Source organism: Homo sapiens, chromosome 12 (assembly GCF_000001405.40).
Source record: "Homo sapiens chromosome 12, GRCh38.p14 Primary Assembly".
NCBI classification, from domain to species: domain Eukaryota; kingdom Metazoa; phylum Chordata; class Mammalia; order Primates; family Hominidae; genus Homo; species Homo sapiens.
Window position 1 is genome coordinate 3,477,701 of NC_000012.12, and position 20,048 is coordinate 3,497,748.

The following is a 20,048-nucleotide window of genomic DNA, read 5'->3' on the forward strand; positions in this document are numbered from 1 at the left end:
CAAACCACTGGCGGTCGTTTCTCATTACATAAAGTCCCCACTGCTCCTGTACCCGAATGGGCTGTAACCATTAAGACTGAAGATTGACTTGGAGGAACAAGAGAACTATTTTATGAGCAAGCTTAACTTTATATCCAGCTCAAAGTTAATAAGCTCTGGTTTGGTGGTTGGGTGTTGCATGAATAATGGAATAAATATTCTCCTACCTTTCTGAGGATGTTTTCCTTCCTTTCTCTTAGGTTGTATTCTGTATAATCACAGTAGCTGGATGTAACTGCTGGCTAGGGGAGGATGGTCCTCTATAAGATGAGGTGTCAGAATGGGTGGCATCATCTATAATGCTCTAAGAGTGTAAAGAAGAAAAAGAAGATTTCCTGTGGGTTGGGAGGCCCAGGAAAGGTTTGGAAACTTAATCGGACTTTGAGGACAGGACAGGGCCTGGGTGAGTTGAGAGGAAGTAGCCACATAATTAATGAAAAGGAGTAGACTGAACTCTCCAATGGAAAGAAATGGAGTCTTCATCCTATCCATCATATATTTATATCTATTGATCCACCTATCATCTATCTATCTATCTATCTATCTATCTATCTATCTATCTATCTATCTACCTACCTATCTATCTGTCTGTCTATCTAATCATGAGGTTATAGATGATACCCTGTGGTCCACCCTGCCAGGCCATGCAGGGATTTATTCTACAGAACCTTGGCTTGGGCCCCTCCACCTTCTGAAGGAAGCCATGGTTCATTTCTGGTTGTGACTGCTTCCTTGATAGTAAGGGTGAATTGCAGAAGAGAACCTTGTACCTTGGCTTTCCCTCAGATGACATGAAAGGAGACTATATATTCCTGAGCTTCTCTAGGTGCTTCTAAGGCAGCAGAGGAAGAAGATACACTTTCTTCTTGCACTGACAAAGGCCTATTCCATTCCCTAGAATCTGAATTTTCCTAATATTTCAGAAGGGTTAAAAAGTTGAAGTCAGGAGCTACCAATGGGTATTAGCTCATGTGGTCACCTGTTATTAATGGAAAATATTAGGGTCTCTCTCCAGCTTATCAATCCTCAGGGAATCTGAAGAAATAGAGAGGGGCAAGTGCAAGCTGCCCTCCTGGGGCCTGAGATCACCATCATGTCCCAAGGTTGGCATCTACTTGAAATCAGTCACTAGGTCAATGATTCCACAGTTAGTTTTAAAAAATAAAAGTTACAGGGAAGCATTAGGAAGAAAGTAACAGTTGCTGTTGGAGGCTGTACGTGCTGCTGTAAGCACCTGGGTAAGCTTCCTGGGTAGGTGTGAGAAAGAGGAGGCCAAGGGGCGGCCTCACGGGTGACCAGAGTCAGAGTCAGGGTACAGCAGGCTCTGACTGGGAAGTGGCCTGGATTCCCTGGCAGGCTTCTCCACAGAGGATAGTTTGGAGGCTCTTTAAAAATTCGTAGGTTATTAAAGTAATTCTTTCCCCTCAAATTTCTGTCCTCTGCCTAATTGGGTTTGAGAAAACCAAGTGGGACTAATGTTCCCAGGACAGGTTCATGCCTCCCAATGGCTTCCCCCCAGCTCTCACTTGGGCCTGGCCCTCCATGAAACAGAGCCCCCTCGATCTTCCTTCACCTGGGTGGGCATCTGTCTCTTGGCTTTTCCGCCATTGCCCCTTGGCTCTCCAGATAGGAAGGAGACTGGACACTGTGCCTAACTGATTGTGTTCAAAAAAGCCCCATGGACTTGGCTAATTTTTTTTAGTCCTTTTATTGTCATCATAGGATGTACAACCTAGAAGAAGCCCTTGAAGCTGTTATGTCCTGTCTCTTGGCACTGGAGAGGATGGAATTTGAACCAGTTTCCTCAGATAGCCATCGTCTCAATTTTTTAAGAAAAAAAAATACTCCCCTAAAGAAGCGGCTACTGTAGCATCTCTTGGGAAGGCTTTCCTGCATTTCTTGCTGTGGACCAAGAAGGGTTAAGTCACTCTTCTGCAGACCCACTATGACTTATGGAAAGGGCCAGCCTGAGAATTTTCCCCACCCCATAAAGAGCACTCAATGCCCTTGGCCTTATGCCATCTTTGCCTAGGAATAAGAAGGCCTCTTGGTTCTTGAACCTGCTGTAGAGAGTTTTTATTTGTTACATGTTAGTGTCAGTTTCTACTCTCAGATTTTTTTTTTTCATGCATCAGGCACTATATACCCACTTAAAACCAGCTGAGCAGAATGAGAGGAAACTATGGTAGAGGTAGAAAAGGTTAAAACGTGTGAGGGGGAGGATGGGAGAGGGACAGGCTGTTGTTCAGGGTCGCCTGGCAAAATGATACCCAGAAGTAGCAGTCCACAGATGCATTTCATCAGCAAGCCTCTTCCATGGACATGGATAATGGACAAACCCTGATGGGCATATTTCTTTAAAATTTCTATTTAGAAAGACCTTCTCTGCAAGTCTGGCTTGAATGCCATATTTTAAAACAGATGATTTCTGCCCAAAGACCATGAGCATTTGAGCTCTTCATGGGGAAAAGGCGGTATTTAAATTAAAGCTTAAAAAATGTTTTTTTAAAGAAAAACAACCTGGAAGGTAGGTAGGGTTGGTTATTCTTGAGGCCCAAGTGCCTGAGCCCCAGAGCACAGGCTTTCCCAGTACTTCTTCCTTCTTCCCCCTTGCTTGTTCCAAGAACTGGGGACAGTATCTGTACTCTGAATGCCAGTCACAGGGTTCACAATCTTAGAATGGAAGAGTTGAAAGTGACAAATTCAACTTGTCCAAACTTCTCACATTATAGAGGAAGAAATGAAAACCAGGAATACGAGGGACTTTAAGGGCAGAAGCATACCTTAACCACTCCCCACCCCCATTTCTCAGGGGTCTTTTTCTTGACACCCACCTTCCCTGAGGTCTCCAGTAACTTGTGGCAGAGCTGGGACTAGAATTTGATTCTCCTGACTTTAGTTCAGTGCTTCCTCCCCCCACCGCTTTCTTATAGCTTCATGCTTTCTCTGATGCCTATAGTCCACGGCATAACTTACTGGCAGGCAGAATTAAATACCAGTGTAACATGATTTTAAAGAGTGCAGGGTGAACTTCCACCCCCAAAATCATGCTCACACCAGCCTGTAACTGGTGCTTGACCTCCCACCATTAGAGATTCTTTCTCTTGTAACTTGAGCTTAGGAGGCTTTCTTCCAGAATCTCCTTTTGAAACAGAAGTCCCTCTGGGAAAGCTAAGTGTTGATAGCTAATAAACAGGAAAGGCTGTTCCTCTGAGAGCTGATATCCACAAGAGGTGGTGGCGGTCTAGAGGAGGGGCCAGGACAGGGAGTTCACATGGGAGGATGCATGTGAGACTGATTTGAAGGTGGGTCCACTCTTTTGTGGATATTTGATAAACGCTACTATCTGCCTGACCAAATGCAGAAGACAGACCATGGCCCAGGCACACTGCTGGGAAATCCCCTTCCCAGGGAAACCCAGAGGGAGAGGCAGGGCTGCCCACCCCACATACTATCTGAGAGCAGCCAGCCCAGTGCTTTCTCTGTAACAGGTGCCCTCTCTCCTCCCCCAAGGCTTCCCTTGCATGGATTGACCTTTATGGGCACTTTTGTCTATGGCTCAAGAGAGGACAAGTCTGTCTTATTATCCTGTGAGTGGAAGATGGGGCAAAAGACCTAGACAACAGAGGGGAAGGGGTGTCATCTGCACTCCACCCTGACACTGGCTTTTGTGCCCTTACAGAGGAATGGAAGAGTTAGGGCCAGAAACTGAAAGGGCGCTTCTCCAGGAGCCTTGGAACTCTGAACACAGGGAGTGGGGTTAGGGCTCATCTAATTCTGCACAACATCCAGCTCTGAGAGTACTGGGATGCAGCAGCCCTGGCATAGCCCTCGACCACCTCATGAGGGACACTGTTAATGTGAGCAACAGCAGGGCTTCTGAAAGCAACCTCGAGGTTATGGAGTATTGACTGAGGGCAGCCAGAGGTGAAGAAGACGTGAACCTATGATGTGGTCCTGCAGGGTCTCCTGGAAGTCCTTGGTGGCGGGGAGCTTTGTCTCAAGAGGGGCCCAGAAGAGGAACTTTGGACAATTGTTACATGGTGTGACACTAGCTGTCATGGCCTGGTGATACTTGAGCTCCTCTTAGATCCTTAGAAGCTCTCCTGAGATGCTGATGGACCAAAGTGGCCCAGAAGCTCACAGGCCCAAGCTCTTCCCTTCGAATGCAACCAAATTTAGGCTATGATTCTACATGACTAGAAAGTCTGTGCCAAAGTCTGTCTGCAAAAGGATAGTGATGAGAATGGCTTCAGGGACTCTGTTATCCAATCGGGGAAAGGAAGGGAGAGGCCCAATCTTTGTCTCAGCTAACTTGAGATAAAATGAGGCTGAAGGAAAAGGGCAAGATTTGCTCAGAGCCCTCCAGTCACAAACTCTGACTTGAATCTTCCAGGACTTGTTTTATGGGCCAGGAGGAAAAGGTACAGATGTTCAGTTTAAATTAATCCCAGTGTAGCATGGACTATCCTGCCCGAGATGACAATAGATTGGTTTTAAAAAAGAAGGCGAAAGGAAGAAAAGAAAAGACCATCTTTGTAGGTTGGAAAAGAGTTGGGGCATATATGCAAAGTTGTTCTGATACTATTCTCCTCCTCCTTCCTCCACCAGCCACTTGCCAAGGTGCTAGATCTTTCCTTCCTTCCTGTGATGAAGCCCACATTTGCTCAGGATGCACTAACTAAGTCCTGATGTCGTTGCATAGCAGATCTGGGCAGTATGTAAGCCCAGTTTTCTAGAAGTTAAAAAATAAAAAGCTATGTCTTCAACACCTGCAAATATGGTGTGCAAGCTGGAGTGACAGCACTTGGAGAAGTTACTAAGTGGATGTGAAAGAAAGAGCTGCAGCAAGAACACAGGTTGACAGGTGTCACTTAAGTGGAGTTGCCCTGTCAAGAGCCATTGTCAGGCTGACAGATACTCTGGCCTCTGGGGCTGGGGTGTCCTTTTTACACTTGTATGTGTGCCTGAGAGTTGAACAACAGATGCAGTTTTGCTGGGTTGAGCCTGTCACCTTCAGCCATACGCCACATGTCATCACTCCCATTTACTGAGGTCCACAATGAGCCTGGTTTTGGGTGAGGCAATTTACAGCAGCCCATAATAGTAGGTTTTACCAGGCCCATCTCTCTCGGCAAATGGGAATTTTGGGGGCTCAGAGTGGTTGAGCAACGTGTCCAAGATCATAGAGTCAGTTAACTGTCAGAGCCTGGATTTAAGGCCAGGTCTGTGTGGCTCTGAGGTCTGTGCCATCGCTGGTGTCAAGGAGACAAGGTTTTTAGGCAGGGTTCAGACCCACACCTTGCTGTGTGACCTGGACAAGTTCAGCAACCTTTCTGAGCCATCCTTCCGTGATCTGTAAAATGGGGGTAACCATGTAACTAATGCCTGGGGCTGCTGTGGGGATTGGTGGGTGTGCTCCACGGGAAGCACACAGCACAGCACCCGGTCCGCAGTGGGTACTTGGCCTGTGGTCACTCTCCTGATGATACCAGGCTCCCTCTCCCGTCTGCGAGGCCCTAGGCAGAAAGAAGCACAGCACAGGAGACAGTTCTCATACTTGCCTGCAGGGTTTCCATCCCTGGAGACGAAAGCCCTTCCCTCTGTAAATGACAGCTGTGTTGGAAATAAATGGATACCTGGAAGATCCAAGAAATGGAAACCACTCTTCTCTTGCTGTGTGATTTTAAAATGTCACTTAACCATGATAGTTTTTTTTTTCCTGTGGAATAACTTGAGTGGTCCTTAACCCCACTTTATTGAGACTTGAGGTTGAGAGGTACGCTGGGATAAACATGGGTTTTTGTTTCTCCATAGGTGAATAAGCCACAGAGTAGATTGTGTCTGGTAAGATGAGGACTCTGGCTGGCTTCTCCAGCAACCTGGCCCCCTGCTTTAAGGACTATGGTCTGTCGCCATCACTGCGTATGTCTGAGCAGCCCGTTAATTTGAATATATTTTGTAGTCAAGAATTGATAGACAGGTAGAAATTTTATTTGCATGTAAAAATACATAATACATACAATGAGTCAAAGAACAATTTTTTTTCAATAATCTGCGATTTGTGTCATTCATGTATTGACATGGATCATTGAGAGCTATGGGGTTATGCTGACTTACAGCCCAGTAGCCTGTATTGCTGAGAAATTCATTGACTTCCCCATCAAGCTCTGCCTCCTGACAAGTGATGAGGAAATCGAGTGATGACTACTTATAATGGCTGCTTGGCTACTACTATTGAGGCTGCTGGAGCCAAATGGGGCTCTTAAAAAATGGCACCTCTTTCGACCTCTGGAAAAGCTAAACTAGAGCCCAGTGCTGGAATGAACACAGTAATTAACATTACTTACAGGCCTCCTTTGTAAACCCCTGAACTGATGGCAGGCTGACTTCCCTTCCCATCAGTTTTACAGTGGGAAGGAGGGGGCGTTCTGCTCTTCAGCCTTTATTTTGGCCATCAGAGTTGAATTTTGATTTGAGATGCCTCTGACCAGTCTTTGCTGTCATTTGGAGGTGGTTAGCATCATAATCCACATCATGAATGAAATGGCAAACAGAAGGAGGATGCGGGGTTTGTCTCAGGCAAATCTCTTAAAGAGGAGGAAACAGGCCCAGAAAAGTTAAATGACTTTCCTAAGGCCACCTGGCTGCTAAATGACAGAGCTGGGACTAGTAGTGCACAGGCACGCTGACCCCTGCTGTCATGCTCTTTCTCCTTCTTACTCTGTGTCTCTGTCTGCTATGGTTAAATACGGTCTTTTAGGACGAGCTGAAGAAAAGGAAACTCACCTGTGTTAACAATACTATGTCCCAGGAACTGTGCCAGATGCTTCATCTGCATTGGCTCATTTTGTCCTCACAACCCCTTAGCCAGGCAGTGATCACCATTAAGCTGTTTGTACACAGATGGAGAGGTTAACTTACTGTTCTGTAAGACCACAAAGCTCTTTCTCCTAGGCTCTGTTAAACGCCTCCTTCATCTCACTTACTTCCTCTCTCAGCCTCCCTCACACTTTGAAGCACGCTTTGATAGGCTCCATTGGGAGGTTTTAAATGGCAAGGCTTCCTTAGGTTGAGGGCAATGGGTAAGTCACTTATTACAGGCAAGTCTGAATACAGAAAATGTTGGTTTAAAAGGGAGTCAAACAAGACCTTCTGGGGAGTGGGGAGTGTGGTTTCTGAGGGAGTGGGCTTCTACTAGGCACTGGTATGGGCAGGGGTGGCAGGCTGCTATCAATCCAGGCTCTCCTGCAGGCACAACCTCTGGAAGGAAAGGAAAGAGAGGGTGCACCTCAGGCCTGAGTGTCCTTTGTGGTAGTTCTACCTAAGAGACAGGTAACTGATGCCAATTAAGAAAATCTTAAGTTTTTCGGATCACAGTACTTCTTGGTAACATGAAATCCATGCTCTGTTGCCCAGCAATTGGAAGTGATCTGTTCTCTGTAAAGACCTCTCGGAAAGAATGCCCCAGGTCTCAGCATCTCTCATGAGCCTTTCCCCAGGCATTGGAAGACTCTTGCTATAGAAACACATTTAAAACAGGATTACGTCTTTTATTTCATGGATCTTCCTCCTCAAGTGCGTGATCCAGGGCGATGTTGGGTAGGAAAGGGAAAGATAATTAGATTTGCACCTTCTGATTGTTCCAGCTACAGTCTTAGAAATTACAATTTCATGAGGAACTGGCAATGGATATTAAGGTAATATCACTTTGGGGGAAACTATCATATGAAAATAAAAGCTTCTGTTCATAAGGGTATATTTAAAACTCATTTATTAAAATATTGCTTAGAACTTGAAAATTCATCAGTAGGTGAATTGTTTGGAAAGTATGGTTTATCCATACAGTGAGATGTTATACACTTTTAAAAATAACTTGGATCTACATGTAGTAACCTGGAAAGAGGCCCATTATACACTGTTTAATGAAGAAAGCAAGTTTCTGAGTAATGTATATAACATGATTCCATTTATATACAGCATACACCAACAGCACACACTTTTATATATATAACTTAGGTCTTATATATATTTGCATGAGCAAAAAATAGAGAAGAGTACACAGTAAAATGTTAATATTACCTTAAGGGGGTGAAGTTTTAAATGAAAGAAAAATCTAGCAAAGTTTAAATTAAAATAAAATCCCCTGAGAAGAAAGGGATCAGAATGGTTACATGGTCCAGAAAGGAAAAGGTGGACTCAATCACAGCTTTGTTTTACCACCTCCACTCATTATGCGTTTTCAGGTCGGGTTGCCCTGACGCACCAGAGGTCAGCCCTATGCTAAGGCAGATGACAATGTGTTATGCCACAAGTGACATTGGTAAATAGTGCATTTGGAGAGAAAAGGCTATAAAACTTCTCATCTGTAAAAGTTTCCAAGGCATACAAGAACTTTGGTATCTTGGTAAAAAGAATGTGTCTCCAGGCACACTTGGAATCTACCATGCTTCTGGTTGAGGCCCTACAGCCTCCAGGGTCTCCCGGTCCATATCAGTAGATACTTCTTGCAGGGCCTACCTGACTGTAAGCCATTGATTATATTATATATATATATTTAACCTATGAGAACCAATGCATAAGACCCCCGATGGTACCTAAATCTATTATAACAGTTAGTATATTAGAGTTAGTCATTTAACCAACTCTTCCTGGAAGATAAGGGTCACCAGTGCAGAGATAAGTCTCTTCACCTTTTAGTCCAGAATACTTAGCACTTGCTTGGCCCATAGTCATATAAAGTTAACAGAAAAAAATATGTATTAAGTTATTGCACTGGAAAGACTGAATGGCTTCCAGTTGGCTTTCAGGGATTCCAGAGAGATTTCCCATAAAAAGGTGAGCCTTAATGAAAGATTTAAAAAGGAGGAAAGGAGTAGAGTATACAACGTCCACCCAGTAGAAAAAGCTAATTCTGTTGTGGCAGCACAACAGAATCTTTTGGGTCTTTCTCATCCTTAGAGAAAGGTAGGTAACAAGAGTATTCAACTTTTTAGAATAAAACAGCAGGATTAAGCTATAAATGCAGAAGTATTATACTAAGAAAATGCCTCCCAGATATTGTTAAAGCAAATAGTATCATATCCAGCACAAAACCGCAGTGAATTGATTTAATCAGACATTATCAGAGCAAGGAAGAAATAACATTCTGGTTTTAATGGCAAAAGAAAAATCCCACCTCATATTGCTTTGCAGGTATTGGTGGCACTCAGCGAGTTGTTCTTTGGAATGCAGTTTAAAAATATTGGGCCTTGGGTTAGGGAGGAATAGGACCACAGAGGCTTTTGTGTAGGAGAACGGCCCAGGTGTGGGGCTGCCTGGAGGCTCAGCCAGGTAGCTGGCTGCTGCAGCCTTGGCTTGGCTCCCATCTGGCCCAGAAGACACTAAGAACACTGCTGGGGTAGCTGCCATGAGGTGGTGATGGATCATGGCTCTGGCCTGATTCTCGAGGAGTCGTGGATTCACTGCAGTGTGCTGTGGCCATATGTGAACCCTGGCCATGTGTGAGGTCCCCTGGGAGGAGGAGGAGAAAACCACATAATATGTCGCCCCTTTCAGCAGCAACGACCATTGGAACAAGCTAGAGCCTGAGATTTCCCAGGCAGCATGGTCCGCAGTTAAAATGCTGCTTCCTGATTCTAGGGGCCTGGGATTTTGGGCAGCAGCAAAAGGAAGTGTTGGTTGGCCCCTGGAGATGAAGTATGGTACAGTCTTCACCTTCTGGGGTTCCAGCATGGGCTCAGAGTTGACAGGAGACAGAATTACAGAGTCCCAGCACAAGGCAGGTGGAACCTCAGAGGGCTTGCTCAACCTTCTGGCGTTTGTGGGGCCTCTACATCATTTACGCCAACAATTAATCTAACTGAGCCTTTCCAGTAATAGGAAACTCACTTCTTCTGCAGCATCTCACAAAGCTGGATAACCTTTGTAATTGTAACCCTCCCCAAGGGTCTCATCCCAACCATCAACACAGCTTTCCTCCAGTCCAGGCCTCTCAAGAACCTGTGAGTTAGAGATAGACCTCCTTACAGTGTGGGGTTCTTGTTTTGGATCTTCTGTAACTTAGGGATCTTCTTCCTCTGCAGGTGTTTTTGTCTCCAGATATTCTTGTCCAGTTGTCCTCCAATCATCACTGTCCCTTAGAATTAGAGGCTTAAAGAATCCTGATGCCCAAACCTCACTAAATCATACTCTCTGGGGGTAGAACTAAAGCACTGGTATTTTTAAAGCTCTCCAGATGATTCCACTGTATAGCCAAGGTTGAGAACCACTGTCTTGCTCCCTGAACCTGGTCAACTTCTTGAGGTTTATGCTATGGAATCAGGTATCTTAGATTTGAATCTTGCCTCTACCACTTGGGCAATTCCTTGTGTTTTTGTTTTCTCATCTGTTATATGGGGATAATTGTATCTACCTCAAAAAGCTGTTGAACGGGCTACATGAGAACACAGGTAGGTCAAGAATAATCTCTGGCATATAGTAAGTGTTCTATAAGACTTAGCAAGTGTTCTATAAAATTTAACTCATGTGCCTAGGACAGGGCCTAGCGAATGTTGACATAATATTTGTGCACTTGCCATGAGATAGGCATTGTTCTAAGCACTCTACTTTTGTTGTGTTGAAGATCTAGTATAAGAAAAATTACATAAATAAAATGCGTCTTCAGAACCTCTTTACCTGGTAGGGTCTATTGTTTCAAACTACCCATTTGACTCACACACTAGTGAACTCTCTGAACCCCTTATCATCCCACATGTTTTCTTGCCTCCCATGAAAATCTCCTTAAGAGTTCTACAGAAGATCTGTACCTGTAAAAGCATCCAACATGACTACATTAAGAGCTCATCAATGGTCAATTCAATATGTTTTGTTGCCTCTTGTTAAGGCTAGTGCCTATTAATGAGCTGGGCATTTAAGAGATGCCTAGTAAATTATTTGTGGGATGACTAAACTAATTAACCTGGTGAAAGACTATGCTAATATATTTTTGCAAAAGAGATAGAGAAAGACTGAATTCACAGGAATGGTAGGGATGCTGAGAAAATAGTTCTACAAAGTACCTACTATGTGCTAGGCACTTTTCACAATCATAAGATGTGAATGTTCAGGTCATCTCTTGGTGTATAACAAATCACCCCAAACTTCGTCTCTTAAAGTAATAATTAGCTTGCTTGTGAATTTGTTCTTAGGTGGTTACATAGCAGGAACAGCACCTCTTTGTTCTAAGACAGCTCAACAGGGGGCTAGAGTATCCACTTTCAAAACAGTTCACTCCTGTACTCCAGCCTTTATGGAACCACCCTAGTGGCATAGGCTCCTCACTCACAGCCCCAGGCTGGCTCTGGGTTGGATGGGTTGGGACAGAAAACTCTTGCCATGAAAATATAGCTCTCCATCTCAGCCTCTCCACTCCCCATTCCAAAGGGAGACGTGTCTGTGCTTGGGGAGAAGCCAAGCAAAGCAAAAGATTTCAACAGCGAAAGGAGGAAACACACCCACTGAGGTTCTCATAGCAACATAATCACGCACAGGCAGCAGCCTATTTCGGTGGGAGCTTGTTTCAGCTCCCCTCCTCCCTGGTTAGTCACAGAAGGCATGCACAAGCAGAAGCAGTGTTGGGTGGGGGCAGAGTGTCGGACTGAAAGTCAGGAGGCTGGGGAGCTGGGTCCTCTGCTTGCTGATGGACCATGGGCAAATGTCCTCCTCTCTCCAATCTTGGGGTCCTTATTTGTAAAATGAGAGGATTGGACCACAGAGCGGTGAGGATCATTTCTTTTCTGATTTCCTTTGATTGCACAAACACTGAGACACTTTTGGTAGGGAATTAGATGTCTCTCAGAATCTTTTGTCTCTGAGAAGATGCCTAGAGAAAAGGGAATTCAATAGGATAAAAGTCATTCTCCAGATTCACATTTATTTTCCTACCACTTTCTGCATGTTGACAGAACGGGAGGAACGACTGGGTGTTGTCAAGGATTCTGCTCACTCACCCCCAACTCTAACCCAGGTCTGTGTTCTGAGAAGGGAAAAGGTTAAGGAGGTTAAGGTCATCTTTTTATTCAAGTTTTCACACACACACACACACACACACACACGCGCGCACACACACACACACACACTCAAGCCTCTTGCTACATTTTCATCCTTCTCATTCTTCATCCTCTCCTGTCTCTATCCCTCACTTCTCACCTCTACTTAGTGCAATGTATCCTCTCTTTGCCCGAGGACCAGATGATGGAGGCATGTTTCCTACTGAGAATGATTCTAGACCTTTTCTTCAATGGACTCTGGGGTTAGTTGAGGACAGTCAGGCTCACACTTCCCAGTTATCGAAGGTGATGATAAAAAGCAAATAGGGCATTTGGGAGGGACCTCCCCAAACAAGTACAGAGATGAAGTGAAGACAGCCGGGTGCTCAGGGAGCATCTTATAGGTCTCAGTCCTTGACTCGTAGGTTGAAAGCTTAAAAGTACAGCTGTTTTAAGGAGTCAGCCTGAGTGTCCTGTTGCAAAGGGAGAGGCAGAATGGGGTCCCCCGCTTTTGTTCTATCTCCCACTGCCCGACAGATGGCCAGTAAAACAGAGAAAAAGAAGCTCTCAAAGTGAAGACAGGAATGCATTGTATAAAAATTCACACCCCCTGCTGCCGCCCAAACTCCCTTAAAAAAGGATCAAGAGAATCCTGACGGGTACGTGACATCCTCCCTCTCTCCCATAAAAGGGACTTCAAAATCTGGCGATGGTGGGGGAAGGGTGAGGAGGGAGAAGAGAAATGCGTGGGCAGGGGGCTGCCAGGGAAGACTGGAGTGGGGGGGGGGGCACTGCAGTCTCGCATTTGACTTTCTCCCACCCTCTTTCCCAAGCCACTCTGGCCGCCACCTTTGCCCCTCCCTCTCAGCCTGAAAGGGGCTTGGAGTCCCAAGGGCTTTGGGTACAAAGAGAGAGAGAGAGAGAGAGAGAGAGAGAGAGAGAGAGAGAGAGAAAAGGATAAAGAATGACACCACACTTACCCCTAGAGTTGAAGGAGTTAAGGACCCTCCCCCATCCAGACACCCACCCCTTCGTTCCCCAAATCGTAATTCGCCGAGGAAGGATCCAGGAACTGGCAGAGGAGCGGGAGAGCTGGGGTGGGCCGGGGTGGGGAGGGTGCGAGTTAACTGTGGCCCGGTCTCGCCCGGACCTCGCCCTAGGTGGGAGCACGCGCACCGGGTCTGAGAACCTGCAAGAGCCTCGCCCGGCGCCGGCTTTCTCTGGGCCCCCCGCGCGGGCCTGGCCTCCACGTAAGTTGTGTGCAGCGCCAGGGAGTGGAGGCGGCCGAGACCCTCGGAGACTAGGGGAGGGGGCGGGCCCGGGGGCGCTGGGGGCCCTCGGTCTGCGCCCAGCCGCCGCCGGCTCCAGCGAACCTCCTACCCCGCCCCCACTCACCCGGCTCAGCCCCTAGGAGAGACGCGCAGGAAGCGTGTTGCTTCGCCCAGCGGATCGGCAGAAGTTGAGAGGAGTTGGCGGCTGCCTCCGGCCGGCCGGACTTTGCGAGCAGCCTGGAGAGGATCCGCGACCGCCGCCGCCGCCGCCGCGGAGGCTTCGGGGCTGCTTCCCTCGAGCTTAGCCCGCAGCGCGGGTGGAGAGGGGCGGGGAGGGGGTCGGGGGCACGAGAAGAACTTGAAACCGTGTGAAGGAATCCGGAGCAGATGAGAAGGGAGGAAAATAAAAGAAAGTGGAGACTGCAGAACAGACTCCGCTGTGGCTGACTGTGCCGGCCGACGCTCCAGCTGAGGGGCTGGGTTGGATTTTTTTTTTTCTCCCATCCTCTCGCTCTCTCTTTTAAAGCGACACCAGCTCTCTCTCCTCCTCTACTATCTCGGTATCACCAAACCCTTGCCGGCTCTTATGGGCATGAAACACTCCTCCCGCTGCCTGCTCCTGAGGAGGAAAATGGCGGAGAACGCGGCCGAGAGCACCGAGGTAAGGAGGCGAGCGAGCAGGGGCTCTCGGAGACCCCGCCGCCCACCCGGACCACCGCGCCGCCGCCGCCGCTCAGCGCCGAGTGCCAAACTTTCCCCAGTTTCATCCCGCTCGCTTCTGCCGGCCTCCTCCTGTGTGTGTGTGTGTGTGTGTGTGTGTGTGTGTGTGTGTGTGTGTGTGTGTGTGTGTTGGTGGGGGGTGGGGGGGAAGTTCATGTCTCAGGTCCCCTCCCTCTTGAAAATGCAAAACAGTCACTCTCACCCCATCACCCTCTCCTGCCACCCGCTGCTCCCTTCTCCCGCCCCCAAGTCCCAAACCCCGGGCAGCCGCGCTCCCCTGCCCTCTCCTCTGGGCTCCGTGAGGGCTCCCGGGTCCCGGCTTTGTGCAGAGCTGGGGTGGGTAATCCTGGGGCCAGGTCTGCCCCCTGCAGTGCCTTGACCGTCTCCTGCCGCTGCCTCAGCTTTACCCTTCAAGCTCGAGTCGGTTCCCGAGCTCTCCGTCCCCGCAGCCGCGCGGAGAGCCCCCGGCCGCGGGGGCCGAGCCGGCAGGAGGACTCGGGCACCTCCTACAGACCCTCCGGCCCAGATCTGGGCCAGAGAGAAGTCTGCAATCCTCAGATATCAGAGCCGCCTCTGGGTAGCTAAACCCGGCAGGGCACACGGGCCGCGGCCACCTTCAGCACCAGGGACAGCGTCCGCCCCTGCAGCAGCCGAGCCTGCGCGGACTGTGGGGGCTGCGCGCCGCCGGCTGCAGTGAGAAATGGGTCTGCAGCCACCCGTCCCGCAAGGGCTTTTGAGGAGGTCGCTCTAGCTCCGCAAATTGTGTTCTCGGCCCCCGCCTTCGGCAGCCTTTTTCTCTACTCTCCAGCTGGCCCTGAGCCGCAGAGAGCCCTGCTGGGCTTTGCGTCCCGAGACTCGAGGCTGTGATCCCTCGCCTCCCTCTGACCCCGCTGTCATTACAACAACCGGACTATTCCGTAGGCTCTGGGCACCTGTAGTCACGAAGGGGATCAGCGTGGGCAGCCCCCTTACCTTCCTGGAGAAACGGTGCGCCGAGATGGGGGCGGAGTGGGGCATGTGTGTGAAGATCATCCCTTACTCAGTGGCAGGAAAAAGACACAGAGAGCAAACTCCCAGGCTCTATTAATAGCTGGGTGTCTGGTGGGGCTGCCGCACATTTCACATATGGTTACCCATATGCAGCGGGGGGCGGGGATGGGGGTGTGGCGCGGGGATTGTCCCTCTGTCTTGCCGGAATGCAAAAAGGTAGAGAGACCCTTCCTGGTCTTCTTCCCTCGAGTTCTTAACTCTGCGCTAAAACCCCTACCCCACGGCGTAGGCAGCAAAGCTTTATAAATCCCCCTTCTCTGAGAGACTAGAAGCAGCATGCATCTGACAATTGTCAATTTCAAAACAAACACGCTCCGGGACTTGAACGCAGCGGGGCATTCAGTAGCGAATGCTGTCTCCTTGAGTTAGGGCAAAGCCTGCGTGCCCGCCGTCCCCTCACCACTTCCTCTTCCCCAGCCCCCACCTGAGAGCAGACATTCGGAATGATGTGTAGTGCGAGGCGGCTAGCCTCCCAGCAGAAAGCCATCCTTACCATTCCCCTCACCCTCCGCCCTCTGATCGCCCACCCGCCGAAAGGGTTTCTAAAAATAGCCCAGGGCTTCAAGGCCGCGCTTCTGTGAAGTGTGGAGCGAGCGGGCACGTAGCGGTCTCTGCCAGGTGGCTGGAGCCCTGGAAGCGAGAAGGCGCTTCCTCCCTGCATTTCCACCTCACCCCACCCCCGGCTCATTTTTCTAAGAAAAAGTTTTTGCGGTTCCCTTTGCCTCCTACCCCCGCTGCCGCGCGGGGTCTGGGTGCAGACCCCTGCCAGGTTCCGCAGTGTGCAGCGGCGGCTGCTGCGCTCTCCCAGCCTCGGCGAGGGTTAAAGGCGTCCGGAGCAGGCAGAGCGCCGCGCGCCAGTCTATTTTTACTTGCTTCCCCCGCCGCTCCGCGCTCCCCCTTCTCAGCAGTTGCACATGCCAGCTCTGCTGAAGGCATCAATGAAAACAGCAGTAGGGGCGGCCGGGCTCCTGCGAACAACAACAAAACAAACAAACAAAAAACCACGTCGCGTGCGGGGCACCAAGGCGGTGCGGGGAGGGACAGACCCAGCTGGGGCTCCTTGGAGGGGTGTGAGCCAGGTTGGCGGATCGGTTCTTAGCAACTTCCCTGGAGAAGGGGTAGAACCCAGACTTGGTCAAACGTGCCTAGCGGAGGCATCCAGGCAGCGTGACAATCACTTGGTTTCCCTCCAGGAACTGGCTGTTTTTGGAATAAGCCAGGACTAGAGCAGCACTTCCAAAAGTGGGGTGTTGTGGACTTGCCTGCATTTATGGTAGATGAGAGCGGCAGGAGCACGCCTCCACGTGTGTCAGTGGGTGGTGGGGAGCGTGGTAGTGGTCCTAGTTCTGAATTCCACACCTCTTTGTCAAGCACCGGCTCTGTACCAGGAAAGCTAGGTACCCAAGTTCCAAACATGAGGACCACCTGGTCCCTCCTCTGGAGGGGCTCACAGTCTCATGGACAACTATGATGGATAATCCTGTAGCCACCTTTTCCTGCTTTTTGTTGTTTATCTCATTCCATCCTCACAACAATCCTGTGAGATAAGCAAAGATTAGTATTCATTTCTTATACCCATTTTATAGTTGAGGACACCGAGGCTGAGGTCAAGCAATTGCTGAAAGTCTTCTGGTGGGTTAAGTCAGCCCTGAAACACAGACTGCCCCCACTTCTGATTCATTGCTGTTTGCCCTGCCCTTGCTATTTCTAACAAGATGCCATGTGTGAATGGGAGTAGATGAGGAGTGGGCAGAGAGGAATACTTTGGAAGGGAGAGATGCAGTGATGGAGGTGGGCAAGGATGGGAGAAAGTGTTCGTTCAAAAGCTAAAGCTACGGAGAGATACTCTAACCATTGGGCAGGAAGGGAGCAAGTGAAGAATAAAACTACTTACATTTTGACCAAAGCCTCCCTCCACAAAGCGAAGTACCCAGCTAGGGTACGAGAGCATCAACATCACGTGCTTGCTGGACACTGTTGGCAATGGGTGGCCCTGGGGGCACTCTTCAACCGCTCTGACCTCAGTTCCCTTCTCTGTTAACTTGAGCTGATTCTCCTCATGGAATAGGGCAGGTATGGGTATAAGGAAATGCCAGGACAGCCCCTGGCACATGGCAAACACGCAATAGTGTTAGTTCCATGTACGCTTTCTCCTGATCACTCAGCTATGCTTCTCTTCCTCGGCTAAGGGAATCACCATTCTGCCAGCCTCTTCTCCCTCTCCCCTGTTCCCTAGGTGTCATGAGAAACCTCCTCTGTGGCCTTCTGGAACATTTGCAAAGCCTCCAGTCCCACTCTCCTCTTCAGCCCATTGTCAGTGCCCAAGACACATCATCTCACCTCTGCCCTCACTAAGGCACTTTCCTCTGAACTGTTTGTCCTCTTCTCTAATCAAGCCTCATAATCCTACTGTACTGGATCAGCTTTCTGAAGCACAAATCTGCTCATGATCAGGCATCTCTTTAAAAACTTAGGATGCTGTCCTATTGCCTACAGGACGCTAGATAAAGCCCAGTTTCCTTAGCATGGTGTGCAAAGCCCATCAATACCTGCATCATGCAATTCTTGGAAAAGACCTCCGACTGCATATGTGAATGCTTCTGTGCATACTCTTCCCTCTGCCTGTGCCGGTCTTTCCTCCTTCTTCTCTCTGGAAAACAATCTTTTTCAACCTGCAAGACCCAGCTCAAACGTTACCTCCTCTGGGCAGGCTTCCCAGATCTGCCATTTATCCTCTCTCCCCAGGGAGGGGCATTACCCTTTCTTATGTGTTCCTAACGCCTGTCTCTCACTTTTCCTATTGCAAGATAATTGGCTTTTTGTGTGTCTATTTATATGTCTATTAGATAATGCACTTTTTTTTGAATTTGTGGGCCTGACACACAATAAGTAATAAATGTTAATAAATGTTGACTGAATTGATGTATGTGATTGTGAACAAACTCTTGAGCCTAATGGGCTTTAGTCACTCATGGCTTCCTGGAAATTGGGATTCCTATCTCCCACCCCACCTGTCTGCTGTACTTAGTTGCTGTGAACCTTTGAAACTCAAAATGGGTAAATATTCTGGGAATCAAGGTGCTGAAGCCAGTCAAATCATGGGTACATTTTGGTTATTCATGTACTTATTCAATATTCAGTAATTATCGACTCTTACTATGGAGTGCTCATCTGAATAGCAGATAAATGGATTAATCACAATGCCCAATTATGAACCATGGGGGATAATGGACCCTCCTGAGCTACTGCTTGCTTTACTGATACTTGGTGAAAGTCTGATGCATGATGCATTATTTATGGCGATGACTCCCTGATTAGGGTTTTATCACCTCAAAGGAGAGCCCCCAGGAGTTGGGAAACAGTTTTAGCAAAGAGTCACTTTGGAAACTGATATATATATATATATTTTTTTTTTTTTTTTTTTTTTTTTTGAATGTTCTGTTGACTTGCTGGCCCAGGGAGAGGGAATAATTACAGGTTGGAAAAAATCCTACAATGTGACAATGAGATTAGGGGTTGCAGTGAGTTATGGGGATAACTGAGCTGACTTCTTGCATGGTGTATCTTGGTGGTTTTGGCTAATAGATCTTTCTCCTCAGGAAGTTACTTTCAGCTGAAGAATGTGGTCCCATTATTACAGGGGTTAGGGAATTGAGGAAGAGGAGGAACCAGGCATAGTTCTCTGAGGATGGTCTTCATCTATGTCTGTTTCTGCAGAGTGTGTACACTAACTAGTAGGCTATGGAGACAGACTTCCTGGTTTTCAATCCAGTTCTGGACCTAGTAGATGTGTTGCTACATTGAGCAAGTTGCTTAATGTCTCTGGGCCTTTTAAGATTGTTGTGAAGATGAAAAGGGTTAATTTATGCAAAGGAATTAGAACATTGCCTTATACATGGTGAGTTCTCAATAAGCGTTTATGATTATTATCCTGCTAGCTTTTAGGAGTCTTGCCAAAAAAGTGCAAACTGAAAGTATTCTCCCACTTTCTCATTTCTGTAGCTGAAATGATCCATAAAACCATAGTCCATGTGACTTTTTCCTCCCTCCGCAAACACTGATTTCAGTCCTTAAGTGAGCTCAGGAGAATTAAGAAGATACCCAATTTTTTTTTTTTTTTTTTTGCCTGGCTAATTTGGCTTTTCAGAGTCCTAAATTGGCTTTTGGCTGTCAAAGACAGTGAAACACAACACTCCTGTCTCCAATTCAGGAGTGGGTTTCATTTCCTCCTCTTTGCTAACTGCAATGTGAAGTGATTATCACATACCAGTGTGGAACATGCAAAAATCTGTAAAAACAGTCCTTACACCTTGGAGTCTACTCTGCCAGCAGGGGGAAAATGGGCAGCCTGAAAATATGTGAACAGCCAAGGTAACTGAAAGCAGCCTCTGTGTGTGAGAAGCAAGCAGGTGGTGCTGTTGTGAACTGGCTTAGTAACAAGATAGAGTGAGCACAGGCAAGAAGGGACCTCTGAAAGGTCATTCTGTCCATGCCTCTGTCCCTGAGAACCACCTAACCGAAGATGCATTGTTGGCCACTTGGTCTCTTGTTAAAAAGCTTCAGAGAAGGGAATTTCCCCAAACTCCTCGAGTGTCTCAGTAGTCGGAAGTTCTCCCTGAAGTCTGAGCTCAACCTCTTCGATTGCAATCTGAGTCACCTTCGTTTATGTTATTCTAAAAAGAGATGAAAACTGGCTGCTACCTTTTCATTTGGGGTTGTCTCACCATTTTTACTAGTTTTTGTTCCAATTGATTCCAATCCCTTTTTCTGATATTCTGGTATTAGACTTCTAATAGGAATAGCTAGGAGAGGAGTGTTTGAGATTTGCCTCTCCAGTATTATCCAGCCAAAATAGCCACTGGATATTTCACACATCAAATGTCTTTTCTTACTTCACTTGTTATAAGAATTCCCTCAAGCATCACAGTTTTTCCCATAT

The 20,048-nt window shown here is 47.8% G+C and overlaps 1 protein-coding gene and 1 long non-coding RNA gene across 6 annotated transcripts in view; one reads left to right on the forward strand and one right to left on the reverse strand.

The window, feature by feature from the left end:
• The window catches only part of PRMT8 (protein arginine methyltransferase 8), a 212,625-nt gene that overhangs the window by 96,352 nt on the left and 96,225 nt on the right, over positions 1-20,048 (forward strand). For 4 of the 5 annotated variants that reach the window (NM_019854.5, XM_017019644.2, XM_047429157.1 and 1 more), the window contains exon 1: positions 13,503-14,000. The exons of the other annotated variant lie outside the window; for it this stretch is intronic. In NM_019854.5, the coding sequence (NP_062828.3) occupies positions 13,926-14,000 (75 nt within the window). In that variant the 5' untranslated portion in view covers positions 13,503-13,925. Of the gene's footprint in view, positions 1-13,502; positions 14,001-20,048 lie in introns of those variants that run through there. 5 annotated transcript variants of the gene reach the window in all.
• THCAT155 (thyroid cancer-associated transcript 155) lies at positions 6,012-15,119 on the reverse strand. Its single transcript, NR_126055.1, has 2 exons — positions 15,032-15,119; positions 6,012-11,902 (listed from the first exon to the last, which is right to left on the reverse strand). It is a non-coding gene; the product is annotated as a thyroid cancer-associated transcript 155 (long non-coding RNA).